The 26,660-nt window shown below is 41.0% G+C and overlaps 1 protein-coding gene across 16 annotated transcripts in view; it reads right to left on the bottom strand.

Moving 5' to 3' along the window:
- ADAMTSL1 (ADAMTS like 1) overlaps positions 1-26,660 on the bottom strand; it is a 1,004,318-nt gene that overhangs the window by 53,742 nt on the left and 923,916 nt on the right. The window lies entirely within an intron of this gene.

Below are 26,660 nucleotides of genomic sequence, written 5' to 3'. Positions count from 1 at the left end.
GGTAGAAAAAGTTCTTTGTATTCCACTTTCAACTCTTTTGTAAAATTGAAGTTATTTCAAAACAAAAGTATATTAAAGAAGAAAGAAACCAAGTCTCAAACCACGTCTTGAAACTCGTGTCTCAAACCAAGAAGTAGAACATGTGAAAAGAAAGGAAAAAAAACCTGCTCTATCCACTGAGACCTCAGGATTTGGAGGACCGGGAAAGTGATAAACATGAGCATCCAAGGTGAAATTGCCGATGGCTCAGAAAACGGGGTTGTTCTACAGTTCTTTGAATGTGTTGCATGACATTTGAACAATTTTCCCCCTTTCTCCAACCAGCTTTTGCTCTGAAAATAAGTGTCTTGTCTATCCATTAAATACCACAGACAACTCAAAGTCTGTAACGCAGTAAGTTTGTTTTATTTGAATGCTGATTTCTTCTCAAATTAAAAAAAAATCCTTCTTGGGCCAGGCACACTGGCTCACGTCTGTAATCCCAGCACTTTGGGAGGCGGAGGCAGGAGGATTGCTTGAGGCCAGTAGTTCAAGACCAGCTTGGCCAACACGATGAAACCCTGTGTCTACTAAAAATACAAAAATTAGCCAGGGTTACAAGCCTGTAACCCCAGCTACTCAGGAGGCTGAGGCACAAGAATCGCTTGAACCTGGGAGATGGAGGTTGCAGTGAGCTGAGACTGTGCCACTGCACTCTAGCCTGGGCGACAGAGCGAGACTCCGTCTCAAAAAAAAAAAAAAAAAAAAATCCTTCTTATCATTTGGCAACAACCAGTTTATCATTGCTATGTCAACAATAAGACTAAAAAACTAAAAGTTCTTTAAAATTAAGTTTAGTTAGCCAATTATTATCATCTGAATAAGCAATACTTATATATGAATGAACCAAAAACCATCATTTCATAATCAAGGTTTGTATAAAAGATGTTTAGATCCTGAAAAAAAGTAATGATTGCTTAACAAAAGCATTGTTTTCCTTCACTTTTCCTCCAATTTAACTTTTTATAATATTTTTATCTCGGCAGTTATACCATTTTTGGCATCATTTCAGTGTGCTTAGCAGAAGCTCTTCATTAAAATCTCATGGTCCTATCTCCCTGGTATTTGTTTTACGAACTATCATGAACCAGTTTCTGAACATGCCTTTCAGTAAGAATCTGAGATGCCAGGAAAGTTCATTAATGTAGAGAACAACAGGATTACAAGGAGAAGAATTAAGAGGAGGTGCAGTTTTTACTGTGCATGTAAGAGTGCCATGGTCATTTTCTTCTGTGCCTAAATTCTTTTTCTGGGCTCAGGAAGCTGGCAGGACATCAGACACACAGGCTTGTGCTGGTTTATCTCTCTTGATACCACTTCAAAGAGTCACACATTACACACAATGGTCCCTGCCAGGTTCTAGACAGGGCGTTGAATGAATTTTTGGTCTTATCTCCTTGGAAACAAAATGTACAGGGAGCTCATTATTTTTGAGCAGGCACTGCCAACAGAGAAACGAAGAATTCCATAATCATAATGGATTTTCACATAAAAAGATTCCTGATAGAATGATGTTTTATGAGCTAAACTGGTCTTTCTACATCCTTTCAGAGATAAAATATTGAAGGTGAAGGATAAAAGAGTTCGAACTCTTAAACAGATATAGACATATTACTAGGTTATGTTTCTAGAACACGAATACAATTATTGTTATCATCATTTTCTCCTTTGGCCTACCCTACCTCTGGCCTGATCTATTTTGTAAGATTTGCTTTGATAGGTTCTCATGGGTAGAGAACAGCAGATGGTCAGCAAAATCCTTTTTAAACTATACAATTTTTCAAAAAGAGCAAGAATCCTTTTCTATTTTCAGGAATGTTACCTATAACCCTAGCACAGGGATGTTCTGGCAAAATGTTTCTCCCAGAATGCTCATGAAAACAGTTACACAAAAACCCCAAGTCCAACTATACCAGTGTGTTCCTTACTGGGATTTTATTCGTGCCAAGATGTGATTCTGGCTTATTTTCCCCGGCCTTCTTTCTACCAGCAAAGGGAAGTTGTTTTCCAAGCTGTTAGCCTCGTGTTTCTGAGGCTCTGTGGAATGGAAAACCCAAATCTGTAAGCTCTGTGATGGTCAAGATATCAGAATTCTTGGCACAGAGTAGAAGTGCAAAAGAATATAGGTTCCCAATCCTAATTCACTTTAGGTTCCCACTCAAAGAGGCATCAGTGGCATGACTATTTCTGAAGACCTCACCCTGAGACTTACCCTGGAAAATGGGGAGGGGTAATTCAATCTGATCAAAATAATTTACAATTATAACCTTCGTCAATAATTTTATATTTCTTTGGAGAATATTAGATTGCATTTTGAGAATAGATTTAATGATTCCTATGGATTGATGATAGTCATAATATGGTCCATGTCACTGAACAATTGTTTGAGAGTTGATTGACATTTTCCATGTTCTTCCACCCTCTCCAGTTTCCAAGAGTCAGAGGCTTATTATGTTAATTTCTAGAGCCCAGCTATTCACTCTCTTTCTTTCGTTTTCTCTAGCTCTTTCTCTCTGCCCTCTCTCCTCCCTCCTTTGCACCTTGCCTCTGCTACCGACATCTCTAGCATCCATTCTATTCATCTATTCTTGAATAGTCAAGAAATAAACTTGATTCAAAATTTAAAAGGTACCAAGAGGAAATGCTGTGAAAAGTCTTCCTCACACCCATCTCCCTCAACTACCTGGTTCCTCTTCTCACAGGCAACCAGTATTCCAAGTTTCTTGTGTATCTGTATGGTATATTTTTGAAATTAAGAAAATCATGTACAAACTGGTGCCCCAAAGAAAACCATACCTTTCTCTTTTTCTCCTTTCAAGAACAAAGTACAATCAAATTAGCTGCTTTTTTCAGGGAACCTACGGTTGTATTAACAATATCAATGCCAATACCACTGGGCAATAAGGAGAGGAAGGGGTGTGTGTGTGTGTGCGTGCATATGTGTGTTAGGGATGATTTCAAAACTCTTGTCTAGAAGACAAAAAGATATTATAAGGCAGAAGCTGCATAGTGATTCTCTTGCTTTGTGAAAGGAAAAACTGTAGCTAATTATAGGAGATGAGAGTCACTTAATTTCCACAATATTAGCTGAACTCCACTTTCCCAAACTTTTCTAAAACATAGCAGGATGTGGCACATGAAAAGGTGAAAGATTACAACCCCCCCACCTCCAACAGTGGTAGACAATATCTTGGAGACAAATCCTGCGTGTATTTTGATTCTATTATAATCAACTATTTGCATGCACGCGCACACACACACACACACACACACACACACAGAGAGTGAATACAAGTAGACTCCACAGGCCAAGTACTGGACTTAGAACAGGAACTTATCTCTTTGCTTGGTGTTCCTCCCCTTCATGTGAAATCGCTTTTGCAAAAATTATAACAGTGAGAAAATTAAGACAGTGATAGAGATCTGATCTAACCAACCCGTATCTTGCCTTTTGCCTCCAAACTGCCATTAATCAGTCTTGGGCTTGGGCCAGGATAACTTTGGGAGACATGTAGTTTATAGTTTAAATGATAATAGCCCTTCCTGAATCTAAACTGCCTTTGCAAAGTTAATGAAAGACCACCACAAGGTTAGGAGGATGAGAGGAGCCTGAATTCTCCTAAGGTGAAGATGTAAATGATTACCAGCATTTCTGATGATCAATGACTCCTCTTGGACCTGTTAACTGGTCCTGTGGCCCCACCCAGAAGTGGACTGAGCATGCACAAGGACCATTTCCCACAACCCTAGGATTGCATCCCTAACCAATCAGCTGTACCCATTCCCTAACCCACCAAACTATCCTTGAAAAACCCTAGACTCCAAATTTTGGGGGAACTGATTTGAGTACTAAAACGCTGGTATCCCATTCAGCTGGCTCTGCAATGCCCCTGTCTTAATAAATTGGCTCCACCTGGCCAGCAGGCAAAAACAACCTGTTGGGCAGTCACACATGGAGAGATGTCTAATTCTCACCTATGTTCCTGTCTTGGCCTGTCTAATCCCCATCTGTTGTTTAGGTCCCATTTCCCCATGAAGTCTACTCAGATGCCATGAGGTCATTGCATTTTATGAACAGCACTCTCCAGGACAGCCAGCATCTCCCCAACCTCCAGGTTCCTTAAAGAAACAATACCATCTATATTTCAGTGTGTAGCAAAGAACAAGTAAGGAAACTGCTCCTGGCTAGAAAGGCAGGCTTCACAAGTGGTCCAGAATCTTCCCTGAATATCTGCCTTCTCCATGGGGTCCCAGAAATCCTACCTTACCAGCAATCTTTGCTTCTAGCCCTAGGAATAAGGCAACAACTAGGTTTTATAGCGTACTTTACAGTTTACAAACTGTTTTTATATATTTAATCTAATTTGATTCTCAAATCAGTCCTGAGGGTCAGTTTATCAACCCACTATACTGATGAGAAAGGCAGACTCATTAAGGTTATGTGGTTTGATCATAGTGCAACTCTGATTTCAAAGTTCATTCTCTTTTCATTAGTTTTGATTCCTTAGTAGGCGAAAGTCCTTTCCTTTTTCTTGATTAATTTTTCGGAGATAGGCTGATATTATCAAAGAGAACTCAACTAAAAAGTTAAATTAACTAACAAATAGAGAAAGGAAATATGAACTGCATAAAATGAACAAGTTAATGAGAAGATAGGTTTACTGGGGCCTGAATTCTTCTTCTTTATTCCTGCTTCCAGGATCTGGCTTCTGAGGGCATTCTTAACTTTCCTGATTTTTCCACTTCCAGTGGCCAGGGGCAAGAGCAAGTACTACCAAAATAAGAATGACTGATGTTAACTGAGCATTTACTATGTGGGAAGGCACCATTCTAAGTGCTTTACATATACTGCCTCATTTATTCCTTTCAAAAACCCTGGAGGTATATGCAGTTATTGCCTCCATTTTAACAATCAAAGGCAGAGAGGACTTCCATAATTTGCCCAAGGTCATGCAATTATTAGCAAGTGGCAGAGCCAGGCATTCTGGCTCCGGAGGCTGCTCCCAACTACAGTGCTATGCAAGCTCTAAGGTGCATGTAAAGGACCCCAGTAGAGAGCATAGGGTTAGATGGATTTGTTGGAGTAGGTAGTTAGGCAGACACGAGCAAGGCAGAAGAGGGCACCCCTTCAGCAATGTCACGCAACCATTAGGTGATGGTCAGGCAGTGGTTAAACTGTCTCTCTAAAATGATAATTGGTTGCATCCAGTGCCAGGGAAAGGCAGTCTCCTAGGAGAAAACACCTGAAGCTGGTGATCAGCAGCTTCCTGATAAAATCTCAGGAGCTGGGCCAGTGGGCTCAACCATGTACACTAAGAGGCAAAATGGTGGAGTTTAACTGGTACACGATCTTCCTCTAGGAAAGTTTGACTGATAAGGGAAAAACGCCTCAAGTGAGCATGCCCACAACTTCAGTAAACACACTATACACGTGGCCCTTCCCAAGTGTTGACAGGCCACTGCTCATGCTGACAGCCCACCCCAAGGGAAGAATCAGAAGAGACAGGACACAAACCATGGGATCATTCCAATGTATAAAACCCCACGCCAACCCTGAACAGAGCACTTGGATCTCTTAAGTTGCTGGCTTGGCCCTCTTCCACATGTACTTTACTTCCTTTTGTTCCTGCTCTGAAAATTTTTAAGAAACTTTCACTTCTGCTCTAAAATTTGCCTCAGTCTCTCACTCTGCCTTATGCTCCTGGAATGAATTAATTCCTCTAAGGAGGCAAGAATTAAGTTGCTGCAGACCTGTATGGATTTGCTGCTGCTAACAGCTAGATGGAAATAGAATTTCCAGGGGAGCACTACAACCTTCCTCCTCGATCATAAATTCATAGAGCAGGTATTCAGCACTCTCTTTATTACCCTTTCTCACCTGCTCATACTGCTTTCTCACCATTGCTTCTGTGTTGATCTTTTCTAACTAGATATGAAGTCCCTTGATGTCAGGGGCCACACCTTGCACATCTCTGCTCCCATCGAGAGCTTGGCATAGAATGAAACTTCCCATATGGCACCTGTCTCCTGAATGATTTTTTGGTCAGTAATTTACACTCACAATGGTGATCAAGTTCTGATCCTATAATTTATGGAAGAACTTGTGGTAGACCACAGTGAGAAAGAGAATGAACTTAGATTTTTCAACAAGGAAGAGAACAGGTAAAAAAAAATTAGCAATTATTAGCATCTACTTTGTAGCAAGCACTAAACTGGGCACATTGCATATGGCATCTCATTTAACCCTTACTATAATTAGTTCTGTGAGCTGGGTGGGCAGATACTCTTTCCTTTTTCTTGCTTAATTTACCTGAGATTGGCTGGTTTTGTCAAAGGGAACTCAATTAAAAAGTAAGTTAAATTAATTAGCAAATACAGAGAGGAAGTAAAAACAGCATAAAATGAGTAAGTTAATAAAACGGTAGGTTGACTGGGGCTAGAATTTACCTTCTTTATTTCTGCTTCCAGGACCTGGTCCCTAAGGGAAATCTTAACTTACCCGATCCCTCTACTTCAAGAAGCAGGCAGGGCCAAGAGCCTTTATTTATGAGGAATCAGATGCTGAGGATTTGGAAACAGCTTTTCTGACTGAGGTGCCCTGTCCTCTGTCTCCTACAAAGTTGGCTTGGAACCAAGGCAGTAGGGTCTGCCTCTCCCTTCATAGATCACATCAAGGCCTTAGGCCATAATCCTGCCCTCTCTTCTACAGTCAGCCTCTGGGCTCTGATAGTGCTGTAAAACTGCCATTATAGCACCACCAAACACAAGGGGGCACAGAGCAAGAGTAGATATTCTCAAGGGCTGTTTCAGGGCTGAGGAAGGATTTATTGGGGAAAGAGTAGAGTTCCTTGTTTTCCCACTGATGGACTTTCAATCCCTGTCTATTTCAGGGACATGAAACTCATTCACATCATTCCTGTTGGACATGGCAGGGAGGGCACATGGGCCTGGGAATTGTGTCCTGCTGCCAGGAAAGGGCAGGAGCAAGTGTGAGTGCGTTTTCTCAAGGTCCTCATTTCCTATCTAGCGTCTTTAAATAAGCCCATGCCTGGGTGCTCGCTATGGCTTAGAACAGTGGCTAGGCAGTGACATTTACTGCCTTGCTTTCCATGTCCAACTATTTTAAGTGTCACTTATGCTCTGGTGTCTTTTTATATTTATGGATGTGCATTTCAGTCCAAAGAACTGCTGTATTCCTTTCTGTGGCTTCCTTGTAAATGCCCTCTGAAATGACAATTTAGTTTTACACTGTATGTATAGAGCTTTCTGCAGTCCCTATGGGGTCTCTATACTCCACTTTGGATTTTATTTAAAAAAATACAAAAGTATATAAACAGGAGCCATAAATAACTACAAAATGCTGACCTTTCTTCTTAATAGCAAAGCATTTTCTCTTTGTGGGCAAAGCTTTAGGAAATCAAAAGCATTTTCCTTGTGACATAAAACCTCGGCCTTCCAGTATAAATGAGGAAACAGATGCTGACTTGTGTCTCTTTGACATGAGTCCTTCCCTTTCCCTCCGTCTTCCTTTCCCACTCCTCAAGGGGGCCAGTCCTCCCCTTCCCGGCATCCCTGTCCTTCCTTGGCATCACCTTCCTTGCCACCTGTTGGGTGGGTCTGCAGTGTGGATTAATTTTTACCTAACCTTTGACCATCAGAACTTGCTGTTCCCACCGCTAAGAGAGGAAGTAGTGATGCCCTTAGTCTTCCAAACAATTATGATAAAAAATGGCTTCCCAACAGCTGTGGCCCAGGGTATTCACTAACTGTCATTGTTTGCATTATCACATAATTGGATCCAGGAAGTGCCCGATCCAGGCTGTACAAGAAAAATCCAGGCTATAGGAAATGTGCGGGTGGGGTGAAGGGTGGAGGTATGTGGGACGGATGATAAAGCTACAATTAGAATAGAAATGAGAGATGAAAACAATTCAAGAGGCCTTCCAAGTCAAGGCCCTGCCACCTAGTCCTGTTTTAAATCACTTAAAAATACTTATGCAGCCTCTTCTATCCCCAGGACCTAGATCTAGCTGGGAGACATGACAGACGTAAGAAATATGTCCAATAATATAAGGTGTGATAGGCTAAGTATCACATTGGTGACATAGAGCTGAGGTTGATGAGAAAGGCAGACTCATTGAGGTTATGTGGTTTGACCATAGCTCAGCTCTGATTCCAAAGTTCATGCTCTTTTCATTAGTTTTGGTTCATTAGTTGGCAAAATCTCTTTCCTTTTTCTTGCTTCGTTTATCTGAGATAGGCTGATATTATCAAAGGGAATGGCCCGAGTGCAAAATCCAGTCCTGTTTCTGTAAATAAAGTTTTCTGGAACACAGACATACCCATTCATTTACTTATGGTCTATGGCTGCTTTCACTTTTCAACTGCAGAGTTGAATACCCGCAACAGGGGCCTTATAGCCAACAATGCCTAAACTATTTCCTATCTGGCACTTTACAGAAAATGTTTGCCCAACTCTGGTCTAGAGTAGGTGCTTCAGGAAGTCAGCAGAGAGTGATCATTCCAGGCTGGGGTGCTCCAAGAGGCTGCATGGAGGGCCTGATCTGTGCCTTGAAAATCTTTAGGATTTAGATAGATATGGTGGGGTAGGGGAGGGTATTCCAGGCATGGAAGTTACATGAGGCTCAAGGCCATGGCAAGTATGAGGGAGAGGTTTGACTGGAACAAAGGAATTACCTGAGAGAGAAATAGGATGGAAGGATGGATGTAAAGGCTAGGTCTGAATAGCAAAGAACCTTGAATGTCAGATTAAAATATTCTAAATGATTAAGCACGCCATATTTCCATTCCAGCTTCTATTATACATGGGTTGTAGAAGACGGAGAAGTAACTTGTAAAATCTCCTCAATCCCTGAGAATCATTTTTTAAAAGTACTGATGCCTTGTCCCATCCTGAGATCTCGAATTAATTGGTCTCTGTTGGAATATTTTTTTCTAAACTTCCCAGCTGACTCTACTGTGCAATGGGGATCCCCTCTTACTAGATGAAGGAAATGGCCAGGCACATGCCTGCAGAAGCTCAGGGCCAGGCAGACAGAGCAGGTGCCCAGCACATGTGAGCCAAATTAAATCAGCAATATCGGCTTGTACCAGAGCCAGCCTGATAAGCCTCTGTTTTACTAGAGTCAGCTCTATAACATTCAGTTGGCCACATGGTTTCCAATAAACTAAATCACTTCTGCCTGCCCCTGTCTAATGCTGGAAAAGCCCATGATGCTCAATGCAATATTGCATCTGTTTATAAATGTGAGCATTTATAGATTTTTCTCTCACTGTTGCTTTAAAGTGACCATTTACAAGGCCTTACACAACTTGCCCTCTGCCTGGTTGCCTCTCTGATCTTCTCTCCTTCTGTGTACTCCCTCTGTTACCTCATTGTGGCCACACTGGCCTTTTTGTTGTTCCTGGAACACACTAGGCATGCACGTTTCATGCAGGCGGAACTCCGCACTCATTCTTCCTGTGCCTGGGATGCTCTTCTCCTCTCTTCTCTCTCCAGACATGTGAAGGCTCAAGAGCACACATTCATGTCTTTGCTCAAGAACTGCTTTCTCAGTGAGCCCTCTCTGGCCTGTTGTATTTTAAATTGGAACCTCCTTCCCACATAGGCACCACCTCTCCCTCTTATCCTGCTTTATTTTTCTTTATAGCACTTATTACTTCTACCATATGATGCCATTTGCTTCTGTATACGTTTATTTTCTATTTCTCCTACTATAACATCAGTTCTATGAGAGGAGGGACTTTTGTCTGTTTTGTCTCTGCTGCCTTCAATGGTGCTGAAAACATGGAAGGAACTCAGTAAGTGTGTCTGTTGTATCAGTGCATGGAATACTTTGCCTCATCCTTTGAGGCTGAGCTTGAGCAGTTCCTCTGTTAAATGCCCCCTACCCCCACCCCAATTACCCTTTCATCAAAGAAAGCAGTCCCCACTCCTGTTCCTTTTGATTTCCTGTGCAGCCTATAGAGCTTTTCTCACACTCATGATTGACTTTTCTGTCTGTCCTAACACTTCTGAGCTGTTCAAAAACTGGGAGAAAGGCACAGGACCTAGCATTTAATAAAGCCTGAGCAGGTAGATGTTAAGGAAATGAGCAGGACTTAGCAAACAGAAGCTTTGGGGTATTCTCCTCCTTATAACTACACATTCTGCATTACACACCCATGTAGCTCTCAATTTATTCTAACATCTTGGCTTGAGTGGTCTGGGATGTGTCACCACCACTAGGAGGTACATGAGAGTTTCAGTGAGAAAAACCCCCCAAATCTGATGTCTTTGAGACTCTGTTCATTCTATGGCTGATGTTTCCCTTCTCATGTTAATCTATTTACCAAGTCCCGTTGAAGTTACCTCTTACAGATCCCTGAATTCATCTACTTCTGTCCATTTTTTTCCACCTCTGTACTTTATGCCACAGTAATCTATGGTTACCTGGAATACTGCAACAATTTCCTAAACAGGGGACTCTATCTAGCCTCTTCCCCTAAAAAACCATCCTCTACACACCAGTCAGAATAAGCTTTTAAAAACGCAAGTTAGACAACCTCTCTCTCTTGTTTTTAAGCTGTTTAAGACTTCCCATTGCACTTAGGGCAAAGTGTAAATATCTTACAGAGCACCAGCAATTTGCTCCACCTCCCTCTTTAACCTTGTCTAAGGCCACTCCCCCTTACCTCTGACCAAAAAGGTTCTTGAAAGGTTTTCTATTTTCATTCTTTATAACCTCTGCCGGCTCCTCTACCTGAAGCGCTCGTCCCCTCTCCTCACCTGGGTAACCTCTATCCAGTCTTCCAGTCTTGCTCAAACATTGGTTTCTCAAAGCAATCTTGGCCAAGCTGAGACCTGAAAAGCCCCCAGCTCTTGCCATTTCCATCGTGCTTTTCTTACTTGAACTTTCCCATCAGACTCTAAGTGCCCCCACTGGAATCACACTGCAAAGGACTACAAACATCAATTTGTTTGGCTTATTACTGTGTCCTCAGTACCTAGAACAGTGCCTGGTATAGTAAATAGATGCTCAATACTTCTTTTTGAATAAATGAATGAGGACTAGGTTTGTATTTATCTTATTTACTGTGTGTCCTTGGCTCACAGTACACTGTTTGGCACATATTAGGCACTTGGTAAATACTTCTTGAATAAGTAAATGGAACTATCTTTGAGACAGTGCTTTCCTAGGCCCTTTATCATGAATTTCAACTTTGGATATTAATATTTATTCAACTGTTTTCTCATATACGCTCCTACTTTGAGAGGGTTACATGTGAACACTGTGAGCTCTGCCTTTAGACTCCAGGCCTGGGTCCTGTATTCCAAACACAGTTTTCATACCAGCGTGATATTATATTATATTGTCCCAGTCTTAACCTCAGTGTTGGAGAAAGAAGTAATTCCTTCACCTTTTTGCATGAGATTTAGGGTCAACAAGAGCCTTGCCGCTCTTAGCAGGGATGTCTGAACTGCATCTCATGCCAGCTGGGTTCTGCAATTCTCAGCAGAGGAATAAGCAGAGAAAAAAATGCATAAGCTGCCTGTCTTGGGTGGTCAGAATACCACTGCCCAACTGCAATGTGTGAGCTGTGGCCTCACTGCCAGGCTTTGCATGGCTGGAAGGGCTCTAAGAAGTGGAGCTGCTACATGTGCAGGCCCTGCCTATGATGGGCCTGTGGCCCTGGTGAGCATGTTGGTGCCACCATGTGTGTTGGCTGTGCCCCCTTGAGCCTCCCACCAGGGAGAAGCACCAGGCACAATGAATTCTTTCATGGAAAGTCTTCACTCTGTACACTCAGGTTGGAATGACTGCCCACATCTTCCTCCTCTTGGTAAATCACAAGGCATGAGAAAAGGCTGGTGCTGTTTGCTTTCTGTGGGGCTGACATGTGCCTCCAATGGAGATTTGTGAGGAGTTCCTCTGAAGGAGGCATGGGAGCTTGCTCACTAAGGAGAGTGTGCTGCCGACACTTGAGCCAAGATGGCCGAATAGGAACAGCTCCGGTCTACAGCTCCCAGGGTGAGCAATGCAGAAGACGGGTGATTTCTGCATTTCCATCTGAGGTACCGGGTTCATCTCACTAGGGAGTGCCAGACAGTGGGTGCAGGACAGTGGGTGCAGTGCACCGTGCATGAGCCGAAGCAGGGCGAGGCATTGCCTCACTCGGGAAGCGCAAGGGGTCAGGGAGTTCCCTTTCTTAGTCAAAGAAAGGGGTGACAGACGGCACCTGGAAAATCGGGTCACTCCCACCCAAATACTGCGCTTTTCCGACAGGCTTAAAAAACGGCACACCAGGAGATTATATCCCGCACATGGCTCGGAGGGTCCTATGCCCACAGAGTCTTGCTGATTGCTAGCATGGCAGTCTGAGATCAAACTGCAATGCGGCAGCAAGGCTGGGGGAGGGGCGCCCGCCATTGCCCAGGCTTGCTTAGGTAAACAAAGCAGCCAGGAAGCTCGAACTGGGTGGAGCCCACCACAGCTCAAGGAGGCCTGCCTGCCTCTGTAGGCTCCACCTCTGGGGACAGGGCACAGACAAACAAAAAGACAGCAGTAACCTCTGCAGACTTAAGTGTCCCTGTCTGACAGCATTGAAGAGAGCAGTGGTTCTCCCAGCATGCAGCTGGAGATCTGAGAATGGGCAGACTGCCTTCTCAAGTGGGTCCCTGACCCCTGACCCCCGAGCAGCCTAACTGGGAGGCACCCCCCAGTAGGGGCAGACTGACACCTTACACGGCCGGGTACTCCTCTGAGACAAAACTTTCAGAGGAACGATCAGACAGCAGCATTCGCGGTTCATGAAAATCCACTGTTCTGCAGCCACCGCTGCTGGTACCTAGGCAAACAGGGTCTGGAGTGGACCTCTAGCAAACTCCAACAGACCTGCAGCTGAGGGTCCTGTCTGTTAGAAGGAAAACTAACAAACAGAAAAGACATCCACACCAAAAACCCATCTGTACATCACCATCATCAAAGACCAAAAGTAGATAAAACCACAAAGATAGGGAAAAAACAGAGCATAAAAACTGGAAACTCTAAAAAACAGAGCACCTCTCCTCATCCAAAGGAACACAGCTCCTCACCAGCAATGGAACAAAGCTGGACGGAGAATGACTTTGACAAGTTGAGAGAAGAAGTCTTCAGACGATCAAACTACTCCGAGCTACAGGAGGAAATTCAAACCAAAGGCAAAGAAGTTGAAAACTTTGAAAAAAATTTACACGAATGTATAACTAGAATAACCAATACAGAGAAGTGCTTAAAGGAGCTGATGGAGCTGAAAGCCAAGGCTCAAGAACTACGTGAAGAATGCAGAAGCCTCAGGAGCTGATGTGATCAACTGGAAGAAAGGGTATCAGTGATTGAAGATCAAATGAATGAAATGAAGTGAGAAGGGAAGTTTAGAGAAAAAAGAATAAAAAGAAATGAACAAAGCCTCCAAGAAATATGGGACTATGTGAAAAGACCACATCTACGTCTGATTGGTGTACCTGAAAGTGATGGGGAGAATGGAACCAAGTTGGAAAACACTCTGCAGGATATTATCCAGGAGAACTTCCCCAATCCAGCAAGGCAGGGCAACATTCAGATTCAGGAAATACAGAGAACACCACAAAGATACTCCTCGAGAAGAGCAACTCCAAGACACATAATTGTCAGATTCACCAAAGTTGAAATGAAGGAAAAAATGTTAAACGCAGCCAGAGAGAAAGGTCGGGTTACCCACAAAGGGAAGCCCATCAGACTAACAGCGGATCTCTCGGCAGAAACTCTACAAGCCAGAAGAGAGGGGGGACCAATATTCAACATTCTTAAAGAAAAGAATTTTCAACCCAGAATTTTATATCCAGGCAAACTAAGCTTCATAAGTGAAGGAGAAATAAAATATTTTACAGACAAGCAAATGCTGAGAGATTTTGTCACCACCAGGCCTGCCCTAAAAGAGCTCCTGAAGGAAGCACTAAACATGGAAAGGAACAACCGGTACCAGCCACTGCAAAATCATGCCAAATTGTAAAGACCATTGAGGCTAGGAAGAAACTGCATCAACTAACGAGCAAAATAACCAGCTAACATCATAATGACAGGATCAGATTCACACATAACAATATTAACTTTAAATGTCAATGGACTAAATGCTCCAATTAAAAGACAAAGACTGGCAAATTGGATAAAGAGTCAAGACCCATCAGTGTGCTGTATTCAGGAAACCCATCTCACGCGCAGAGACATGCATAGGCTCAAAATAAAAGGATGGAGGAAGATCTACCAAGCAAATGGAAAACAAAAAAGGCAGGGGTTGCAATCCTAGTCTCTGATAAAACAGACTTCAAACCAACAAAGATCAAAAGAGACCAAGAAGGTCATTACATAATGGTAAAGGGATCAATTCAACAAGAAGAGCTAACTATCCTAAATATATATGCACCCAATATGGGAGCACCCAGATTCATAAAGCAAGTCCTGAGTTACCTACAAAGAGACTTAGACTCCCACACAATAATGGGAGACTTTAACGCCCCACTGTCAACATTAGACAGATCAACAAGACAGAAAGTTAATAAGGATACCCAGGAATTGAACTCAGCTCTGCACCAAGCGGACCTAATAGATGTCTACAGAACTCTCCACCCCAAATCAACAGAGTATACATTTTTTTCAGCACCACACCACACCTATTCCAAAATTGACCACATACTTGGAAGTAAAGCTCTCCTCAGCAAATGTAAAAGAACAGAAATTATAACAAACTGTCCCTCAGACCACAGTGCAATCAAACTAGAACTCAGGATTAAGAAACTCACTCAAAACTGCTCAACTACATGGAAACTGAACAACCTGCTCCTGAATGACTACTGGGTACATAACGAAATGAAGGCAGAAAGAAAGATGTTCTTTGAAACCAACGAGAACAAAGACACAACATACCAGAATCTCTTGAACACATTCAAAGCAGTGACTAGAGGGAAATTTATAGCACTAAATGCCCGCAAGAGAAAGCAGGAAAGATCCAAAATTGACACCCTAACATCACAATTAAAAGAACTAGAAAAGCAAGAGCAAACACATTCAAAAGCTAGCAGAAGGCAAGAAATAACTAAAATCAGAGCAGAACTGAAGGAAATAGAGACACAAAAAACCCTTCAAAAAATTAATGAATCCAGGAGCTGGTTTTTTGAAAGGATCAACAAAATTGATAGACCGCTAGCAAGACTAATAAAGAAGAAAAGAGAGAAGAATCAAATAGACGCAATAAAAAATGATAAAGGGGATATCACCACTGATCCCACAGAAATACAAAGTACCATCAGAGAGTACTACAAACACCTCTACGCAAATAAACTAGAAAATCTAGAAGAAATGGATAAATTCCTCGACACATACACCCTCCCAAGACTAAACCAGGAAGAAGTTGAATCTCTGAATAGACCAATAACAGGAACTGAAATTGTGACAATAATCAATAGCTTACCAACCAAAAACAGTCCAGGATCAGATGGATTCACAGCCGAATTCTACCAGAGGTACAAGAAGGAACTGGTACCATTCCTTCTGAAACTATTCCAATCAATAGAAAAAGAGGAAATCCTCCCTAACTCATTTTATGAGGCCAGCATCATCCTGATACCAAAGCCGGGCAGAGACACAACCAAAAGAGAGAATTTTAGACCAATATCCTTGATGAACATTGATGCAAAAATCCTCAATAAAATACTGGCAAACCGAATCCAGCAGCACATCAAAAAGCTTATCCACCATGATCAAGTGGGCTTCATCCTTGGGATGCAAGTCTGGTTCAATATATGCAAATCAATAAATGTAATCCAGCATATAAACAGAACCAAAGACAAAAACCACATGATTATCTCAATAGATGCAGAAAAGGCCTTTGACAAAATTCAACAACCCTTCATGCTAAAAACTCTCAATAAATTAGGTATTAATGGGATGTATCTCAAAATAATAAGAACTAACTATGACAAACCCACAGCCAATATCATACTGAATGGGCAAAAACTGGAAGCATTCCCTTTGAAAACTGGCACAAGACAGGGATGCCCTCTCTCACCACTCCTATTCAACATAGTGTTGGAAGTTCTGGCCAGGGCAATTCGGCAGGAGAAGGAAATAAAGGGTATTCAATTAGGAAAAGAGGAAGTCAAATTGTCCCTGTTTGCAGATGACATGATTGTATATCTAGAAAACCCCATTGTCTCAGCCCAAAATCTCCTTAAGCTGATAAGCAACTTCAGCAAAGTCTCAGGATACAAAATCAATGTACAAAAATCACAAGCATTCTTATACACCAAAAACAGACAAACAGAGAGCCAAATCATGAGTGAACTCCCATTCACAATTGCTTCAAAGAGAATAAAATACCTAGGAATCCAACTTACAAGGGATGTGAAGGACCTCTTCAAGGAGAACTACAAACCACTGCTCAACGAAATAAAAGAGGATACAAACAAATGGAAGAACATTCCATGCTCATGGGTAAGAAGAATCAATATCATGAAAATGTCCATACTGCCAAAGGTAATTTATAGATTCAATGCCATCCCCATCAAGCTACCAATGACTTTCTTCACAGAATTGGAAAAAACTACTTTAAAGTTCATATGGAACCAAAAAAGAGCCCACATCGCGAAGTCAACCCTAAGCCAAAAGAACAAAGCTGGAGGCATCACACTACCTGACTTCAAACTATACCAGAAGGCTACAGTAACCAAAACACCATGGTACTGGTACCAAAACAGAGATATAGATCAATGGAACAGAACAGAGTCCTCAGAAATAATGCCATAGATCTACAACTATCTGATCTTTGACAAACCTGAGAAAAACAAGCAATGGGGAAAGGATTCCCTATTTAATAAATGGTGCTGGGAAAACTGGCTAGCCATATGTAGAAAGCTGACACTGGATCCCTTCCTTACACCTTATACAAAAATTAATTCAAGATGGATTAAAGACTTAAACGTTAGACCTAAAACCATAAAAACCCTAGAAGAAAACCTAGGCATTACCATTCAGGACATAGGCATGGGCAAGGACTTCATGTCTAAAACACCAAAAGCAATGGCAACAAAAGACAAAATTGACAAATGGGATCTAATTAAACTAAAGAGCTTCTGCACAGCAAAAGAAACTACCATCAGATTGAACAGGCAACCTACAAAATGGGAGAAAATTTTCGCAACCTACTCATCTGACAAAGGGCTAATATCCAGAATCTACAATGAACTCAAACAAATTTACAAGAAAAAAACAAAGAACCCCATCCAAAAGTGGGCGAAGGACATGAACAGACACTTCTCAAAAGAAGACATTTATGCAGCCAAAAAACACATGAAAAAATGCTCACCATCACTGGCCATCAGAGAAATGCAAATCAAAACCACAATGAGATACCACCTCACACCAGTTAGTAATGGCAATCATTAAAAAGTCAGGAAACAACAGGTGCTGGAGAGGATGTGGAGAAATAGGAACACTTTTACACTGTTGGTGGGACTGTAAACTAGTTCATCCATTGTGGAAGGCAGTGTGGCCATTCCTCAAGGATCTAGAACTAGAAATACCATTTGACCCAGCCATCCCATTACTGGGTATATACCCAAAGGACTATAAATCATGCTGCTATAAAGACACACGCACACATATGTTTATTGCGGCACTATTCACAATAGCAAAGACATGGAACCAAGCCACATGTCCAACAACGATAGACTGGATTAAGAAAATGTGGCACATATACACCATGGAATACTATGCAGCCATAAAAAATGATGAGTTCATGTCCTTTGTAGGGACATGCATGAAATTGGAAATCATCATTCTCAGTAAACTATTGTAAAGACAAAAAACCAAACACCGCATGTTCTCACTCATAGGTGGGAATTGAACAATGAGAACACATGTACACAGGAAGGGGAACATTACACTCTGGGGACTGTTGTGGGGTGGGGGGAGGGGGAGGGATAGCATTAGGAGATATACCTAATGCTAAATGACGAGTTAATGGGTGCAGCACACCAGCATGGCACATGTATACATATGTAAGTAACCTGCACATTGTGCACATGTACCCTAAAACTTAAAGTATAATAATAATAAAATTAAAAAAAAAAAGGAGAGTGTGCTGCTAAAAAGAGGGGGTGGGCCAAATGTATGCTGAAAGATACTTGAACAGCACCTAAGTAAGATGCTGGAAAAAGGCACTGTTTTTATTAAGCCACATGTAATTACATATTTTAGGTTTTTTTTTTTTTTAAAAAAAAGAGACAGGATCTCACTTGTTGCCCAGGCTGCAGTGTAGTGGTGCGATTATAGCTCACTTGCAGATTATAGCTCACTTGCAGCCTCCCTCCAGGGCTCATGTGATCCTCCCACCTCAGCCTCCCAAGCAGCTAGGACTACACCTCAGCCTCCCAAGCAGCTTGGACTACAGGCCTGCACCACCATGCCTAGTTATATTTTAAAAAAATTTTTGTAGTGATAAGGTCTTGCTGTGTTGCCCAGGCTGGTCTTAAATGCTTGACCTCAAGCAATCCTCCCATCTCAGCCTCCCAAAACATTGGGATTACAGGTGTGAATCACCATGCCCAGCCTAGTTATTTATTTATTTATTTATTTATTTTTAAACTGGAGCCACCTGAGGCTATCTAATTCTGAGGAAACTCCAGGCTCTTTAGAGCTTTTCTCTCTTTCCCTACCTTCCTGAGGACAATTTCTACTCCTCTAGGTTTTTGCGTGTGTGTGTGTGTGTGTGTGTGTGTGTGTGTGTGTGTGTGTAATATGGTTTGGCTGTGTCCCCACCCAAATCTCATTTGAATTATACCTCCTGCAATTCCCACATGTCATGGGAGAAACCTGCTGGGAGGTGACTGAATCATGGGGGCAGGTCTTTCCCATGCTGTTCTTGTGATAATGAATGAGTCTCATGAGATCTGATGGTTTTAAAAATGAGAGTTTTCCCTGCATAAGCTCTCTCTTTGCCTGCCACCATCCATGTAAGACGTGACTTGCTTCTCCTTGCCTTCTGCCATGATTGTGAGGCCTCCCCAGCCATGTGGAACTGTAAGTCCATTAAACCTCTTCTTCTTCCCAGTCTCGGGAAGAAAACAGCAGCATGAAAACAGGCTAATATAGTGCATCTTTTAGGGTCTTTGACCTCATGGAGGCCTAAGCCAGTGACAGGATGAAGGACACAGAGATACAGTAGGAAAGATGTGATCCTTAGAAACAGGGAATATGTCACGACTCCCATAAGACCTTGGTGTCCTTTCCAATAATAAGGTAGAGGGACCGGATCAGGGGTTGGCAAACATTTTCTGTAAAGGGGCAGATAGGAAATAATTTAGGTTTTTGGGCCACATGGTGCCTGTCACACGTACTCAATTCTGCTGTTGTAATATGAAAGCAGCCACAGAACACTTGGGTAAATTAATGGGTGTGGCTCTGTTACAGTAAAACTGTACTTATAAAAACACGTGGTTTTTGTAAATCTGCAGAGGATCCCCTTGAGTATGGCGCAGAATGCGTATTGGTGGCATGTGTGTGAAGTAGGGGAAGAACCACTTAAAAGAATTAGAAGTACCAGTGTCTGAGGCTCACACAGGGTAGGGAATAGTATCTGTTTCCACAAGCCAGACCTTATGATTTATAGGGCATTAAGTAGAATGTGGTATAAGAGACAAACATAACAATGAAATAGAATAGAGATCTAGAAATATACCCACGTATATAAGAACAATTGATTTTCCAGAAAGATGCAAAGGCAACTCAGTGGAGAAAGGATAATATTTTCAGCAAATTGTAGTGGATAAGTTAGATGTCCATATGTATAAAAACAAACTTCAATATATAGCTTATATCATATACAAAACTAACTAAAGATAAATTAACTTAAAACTTAGAATTATGAAACTTCTAGAAGAAAATATGAGAACGTCTTTGAGACAGAAGTAGGCAAAGATTTCTTAAATACAATGCTAAAAGAATGAGCCCTAAAAGAATAAATGGAAAGTCTTAGTGAGAGCCATCAGGCAAGAGAAAGAAATAAAAGGCATCCCAATAAGAAAATAAGTCAAACTATCTCTCTTCACTGACTATATGATTATACATCTAGAAAACCCTAAAGACTTCCAAAAGGCTCCTGGAATTGATAAATGACTTCAGTAAAGTTTCAGGATACAGAATCAATGTACAAAATCAGTAACATTTCTATATGTCAATAACCTTCAAGCTGAGGGCCAAATCAAGAATGCAATGCCATTTACAATAGCAACACAAAAATACACAAAAATAAAATATCTAGGAATATATCTGACCAAGAAGGTTAAAGATCTCCACAAGGAGAACTATGAAACACAATGCTGAAAGAAATCATAGATGACATCCATAAATGGAAAAGCATTCCGTGCTTATGGATTAGAAGAACCAATATCATTAGTATGGCCATACTGCCCAAGGCAATCTACAGATTTAATGCTATTATTATCAAACTATCAACCTCATTTTTCACAGAATTAGAAAAAACTATTCTAAAATTCATATGCAACCAAAAAAGAGCCTGAATAGCCAAAGTGATCCTAAATAAAAAGAACAAAGATAGAAGCATCATGCCACCCAACTTCAAACTATACTACAGGGCTACAGTAACCAAAACAGTTCTCAAAAGTAATTGAAACAAAGCAAAAAATTGACAAGTTGGACCTAATCAAACTAAAGAGCTTCTGCACAGCAAAAGCAACTATCAACAGAGTAAACAGACAACCTACAGAATGGGAGAAAATATTCAAAAACTATGTATCCAACAGAGGTCTAATATTCAGAATACATAAGGAACTTAAACTGAGCAAGCAAAAAACAACTAACCCCATTAAAAATTGGCAAAAGACAGGAACAGACATTTCTCAAAAGAAGACAATGAGATACCATTTCAGACTGGTCAAAATGGCTACAATTTAAGCATCAAAAAACAACAGATGCTGGTGATGCTGCAGAGAAAAGGGAATGCTTTTATACTGATGGTGGGACTGTAAATTAGTTTAGCCGCTGTGGAAAGCAGTTTGGATATTTCTCAAAGAACTTAAAACACAACGATCATTCAATCCAGCAGTCCCATTACTGGATATGTATTCAAAAGAAAATAAATCATTCTACCAAAAAGACACGTGCATTTGTGTGTTCATTGCAGCACTATTCACAGTAGCAAAGACATGGAATCAACCTAGGTGCCCATCAACAGTGGATTGGATAAATAAAATATGGTACATATATACCATAGGATACTATGCAGCCATAAAGAGAATGAAATCATGTCCTTTGCAGCAACATGGATGCAGCTGGAGGCCATTATCCTAAGCAGGATAATGCAGGAACAGAAAACCAAATACCACATGTTCTCACTTAGAAGCAGGAACTAAACATTGGGTACTCATGGACATAAAAATGGCAACAGTAGACACTGGGGACTACTAATGAGAGAGGAAAGGAACAGGGCAAGAGCTGAAAAACTATTGGGTACTATATTCAGTATCTGGGTGATGGGATCAATCATACCTCAAATCTCAGCATTGGGAAATATACCCATGTAACACACCTGCACGTGTACCTCCTGAATCTAAAATAAAAGTTGAAATTATTTTAAAAAATTAAGAAAAGGGTAAGTTGAGCCTCATCAAAATCAAAATCTTCTACTCTTTGTAAGACACTGTTAAGAGAATGAAAATATAGCTGCTGACTGGGACAAAGTATTGGGAAATTACATATCTCATTAAAAGACTTACATTCAAAATATATTAAAACACTGAAAATTTGATATAAGTAAACAACTCAATGTTTAAATAAAGGTCCAAAAAATTGAGCAGACATTTTACCAAAGAAGAAATCAGGATGGCAAATAAACACATGAATACATGTTCAACACTACTAGTAATTAAGGGAATGCAAATTAAAACCACAATGAGAAACCACTACACACACAGTAAAATGTCCAAAATGCAAAAGACCAACTACAGTAAGCTTTGGTGAGGACAAGGAGAACTCAGAACTTTCTTACACTGCTGGCGGGAATGTAAAGTAGTACAACTACTTTGGAAAACAGTTTGGCTGTTTCTTAAAATGTTAAATATATACCTATGATTCGAGCAAGTCATTTCACTCCTAGGTGTTTAACCAAGAGAAATGAAACTATGTGTGCATACAAAGATTAATGTACATGAATTTCACAGCAGATTTGTAATAACCAGAAACTGAAAATAACGATTCCGTCTCTGAACAGGTGACTGATTAAACAAACTGTAGTATATACAATGAAATACTAATTAGCAATAGAAATGCCCTGTTGATCCATGTTACAATATGGATGAATGTCAAAGTAATTATTCTGAGTGAAAGAAATAAAATATCCCAAAGGCATTAGTCCTTTTCTATACCATTCTATAAAGTGCAGTCTAGTTTACCCCGACATAAATCAGATCAGTGTTCACCTAGGGTGGGAGCAGTAGTGGTGGGGGTAGGGGTATGAGGGAACAATTACAAAGGGATATGAGGTAACTTTGGGGGCTGATAAAATATGTTCATTATATTGATTGTGGTGATGATTTCACAGGTGTATACATATATCAAAACATCATATTTTAAACTTTAAATATGTATTATATATTGAATATCAACTACCAGATTGTCAAATATGGGTCAAACGTATAAAGAAGTATTTGTATCTTATAAATGAATAACAAAGAAGGTGAAAGATCTCCACAAAGAGAACTGCAAAACACTGCTGCAAGAAATTAGAGATGACACAAACAAATAGAAAAACATTCCATGCTCATCGATAAGAAGAATCAACATTGTTAAAATGGTCATACTGCCTAAAGCAACTTACAGATTCAATGTTATTCCTATTAAACTATCAACGACATTTTTCACAGAACTAGGAAAAACTATTTAAAAATTCATATGGAACCCAAAAAAAGCCCTAATAGCCAAAGCAATCCTAAGCAAAAAGAACAAAGCTGGAGGCATCACGCTACCCAACTTCAAAGTATATTACAGGGCTATGGTCACCAAAAAACATGGTGCTGGTACAAAAACAGACACATAGGCCAATGGAACAGAATAGAGAACCCAGAAATAAGGCCATATACCTACTACCATCTAATCTTCGATAAACTGACAAAAACAAGAAATGGGGGAAGGATTCCCTATTTAATAAATGGTGCTGGGATAACTGGCTAGCCATATAGAGAAGATTAAAACTGAGTCCCTTCCTTACTCCATATACAAAAATTAACTCAAGATGGATTGAAGACTTAAATGTAAAACCCAAGACTGTAAAAACCCTAGAAGACAACCTCGGCATTGCCATTCAGAACATAGGCATGGGCAAAGGTTTCATGATGAAGACACCAAAAGCAATTGCAACAGAAGCAAAAACTGGCAAACAAGATCTAATTAAAGAGCGTCTGCACAACAAAAGAAACTATCAACAGAGGAAACACAACCTACAGAATGGGAGAAAATTTTTGCAAAGTATACATCTGACAAATGTCTAACATCCAGCATCTATAAGGAACTTAAATTTACAAAAAAACACAATTGCATTAAAAAGTGGGCAAAGATGTGAACATACGCTTTTCAAAAGAAGATATACATGCGTCCAACAATCACATGAAAAAAACTCAACGTCACTGATTATTAGAGAAACGCAAATCAAAACCACAATGAGACACCATCTCACACCAGTTAGAATGGCTATTAATAAAAAGTCAAAAAACAACAGATGCTGGCAAGGTTGTGGAGAAAATGAAATGCTTATGCACTGTTGGTGGGAGTGTAAATTAGTTCAACCATTGTGGAAGACAGTGGTCAATTCCTCAAAGACCTAAAGACAGAAATATCATTCAACCCTCTACTGGGCATTTCTATGTCTAAGCCATGTGGTCAAGAGTATGAGAGCAACAAGCACTTGCTAGTCCCAAGGTTTCATTTTTATAGTTATGGAAAAGTGAGGCCCAGGTGGGCCTGTGCATGTGTTGCTCAGGCAACATTCCCTTTGGAGAGTTGTAGCAGTGGCTTGAGGTGAAATCAATACCAGGGTGTCCGATAACTAAAACAGCCAGTTCTGGAATAGTCTCACCTACTGGGGATCTCAACACTCCAGACTTAATGAAGAAGAATGAGCTCTGACACATGGCTTAAAAAACTCCAACTCTCCTTTCCCCCCTTACTGCTGGGAAACATGAAAATCAGGGTCTATGAGTTACTGTTCCTGTGCCACAGAACCATGAAGTTCTGTAAGGCTGTTACAGCCAGCTGACCTCGTACATAGAGGAAACATACAGTGGCTGGCATCTCACCACTCACTGGCTACAACAAGGCTGGTGAATGGCTTTCATCCTGTATATATCAACTACCACCAGGCTTGGTAAGAACATTAAAATGAATTCCAAGGCAGTGCCTGAGCTGAGTGAAAAAGAATGTCACGACTGACTAGGGATGTCTTGGCTGTGGGAGGAGTGATTAACAGTATCTTTGCCATGTATTTCCACCTTGGTCTAGAATTCTGTTATCCTCAAAATAGGGTTTCTTCATTAAATCTCTCCCACTATCGATTATTCCTACAGAATACCAGATTAATTCTTCTCATACATTACTTTTAGTATGTCATTCTCCTATTTAAAAACCCTCGAAAGATTTGTTCCCGTTCCCCAGGTAGTACATCTACTTCCTTTGTTTTATATTCATGGCTTCCACAGTTTGATGTTAATTTCTCAGCAACCCTACACAAAACCTCCTCTCCAGCCTCCCTGGCTTATTTCTCATACCCAGAGCGCACACTGTGGTCTGAAAGGGCCACCTATAGGAGTCAGGGATGGGAGCTTGTCCAGATGGGAGCCACTGGACTAAGACCAGGATGAGGTACTAGCTGGGGAAGTTCAGGATGGAAGGAGGGCATTAGGATTGTTGGGGTGAGGGTCTGAGCCAAATCTGAATGGACAAGCTGTGGCTGAGGCTTGTTCGTTTTGATGGCCTAGTTTCTATCCCAGTTTAGCTGCCTGTCATCAGTCTTAAAGCAATGGTGTTTTACAGTTGTTTCTGAACAGACATCTGATACATATCTTGCACATTTTTCATCTTGGGGCTCATGGAATCTTCCTCACCTTGAGTGCCCATTTCTCTTCCTTTCTGCCTATTTGAATCCCACCCATTCTGCAGTGCTCAGCTCCAAAGCATCATAATGAGGCTCTGCCTGTCTCAACCTACTTCTCAGAGTCCTGATACTTGACATCATTTTCTCATTCATCTCCACAATTCCATGTGAGTCTCCTAGTTCTATAGTGCTGGCGTGACACTGACATTCACCATTCAAGTTCATTTGGTCCAGGCAGTTACATTCAGGGACTTTATGAATACTGACTCACTGTCTCATTCAAATGGAGCAGTCTGGATGTGGACTGGGAATTTAAGGTGTCTCTTAACTGCTGGATTTAAATACCAGCCTAAGGTAACAAAGCACCACAAACTAGCAATGGAATGTGGCAACATAAAGTACAATAAATTCTTATTGCCCATGGCTAAAATGAAACAAAATATTATTCCAGAATAAGGGAGACTGAAAGTAAAGCTATCATGAAAAAATATGAACAGGCTAACTTTTCCAGCATGCTAAATGGCACCTGAGTGACCCAAAAGAGTTACTGAACTTGAAAATAAACAATTGCTGCCACCCTGCTTGTGACCAGGCTGTGATGAACAGTTATGAGAGTTTCTCATAGTGATTCTAAAATAAAGAAGTTCACAACGCACATTTCACTGGGAGTCAGTTTACTATTTGTAAGCCAAAGGCAATATGCAATTTGAAGCTTCTATTAATTCTGATCAACAAGATATAGAAAAACTCAGTGCCAAACTTGTATAAATCATGGGCAACAGAATAGGGCTACTTGTTACTTTCCCTGTGTCTTATTTTTACTCAAGTCAAAAATAGAGAAATCAGATTTTTCCATATGCTGATAAGCTGTGAAGATTCTTTGCAAGTTTCAGATGAAAACGAAAATTGAGGGTCATGTTTCTGTGCTCTAATCCTAAAGATACCAGGCCCCTGTGGCCATGTTGATAAGTCATCACCAATACGACTGGGAACCCACTGGCCTCCTGTTCCTTGCTAGTTGGTGGGTAAAAGAATACAGAAGCTTTAAACTTTGAGCCACAGGAATAATTCTAGCTGTTATTGTCAACATTTGGGATCACATAGACTTAGTATGAAGATTTTCCCCACTTTGTAGGCTTTGGCTTTTTGTTTTATTTTAAAGAGGAGTTTTAGATCTTAGGTTCACAGCACAAGAGGAAGGTACAGAAACTTCTCATATATTCCCTGTCCCTGCACATGTATAGGCCTATTTCCCCACCCCCCCACCAGGCCTTTTGAAGGCAGAAGAATTCTTCTCTTCCACCTTGTCCGTCTCCAGAGGTCATGTGTGAAGGTTTTTCCGGCATCTTCATGATTCTCGTGTGGGGGCCCAGGACTTGAATGCCCTCGTACAACTCCTTGCTACCAGAGGGCACTACCCATGTGGGAAATAACTTGGTGAAGGT

The sequence above is a fragment of the Homo sapiens genome, chromosome 9 (assembly GCF_000001405.40).
Source record: "Homo sapiens chromosome 9, GRCh38.p14 Primary Assembly".
In the NCBI taxonomy this organism is placed as follows: domain Eukaryota; kingdom Metazoa; phylum Chordata; class Mammalia; order Primates; family Hominidae; genus Homo; species Homo sapiens.
Note: the sequence above shows the minus strand (reverse complement) of the source record. Positions and strands in the feature narration are given on the sequence as shown.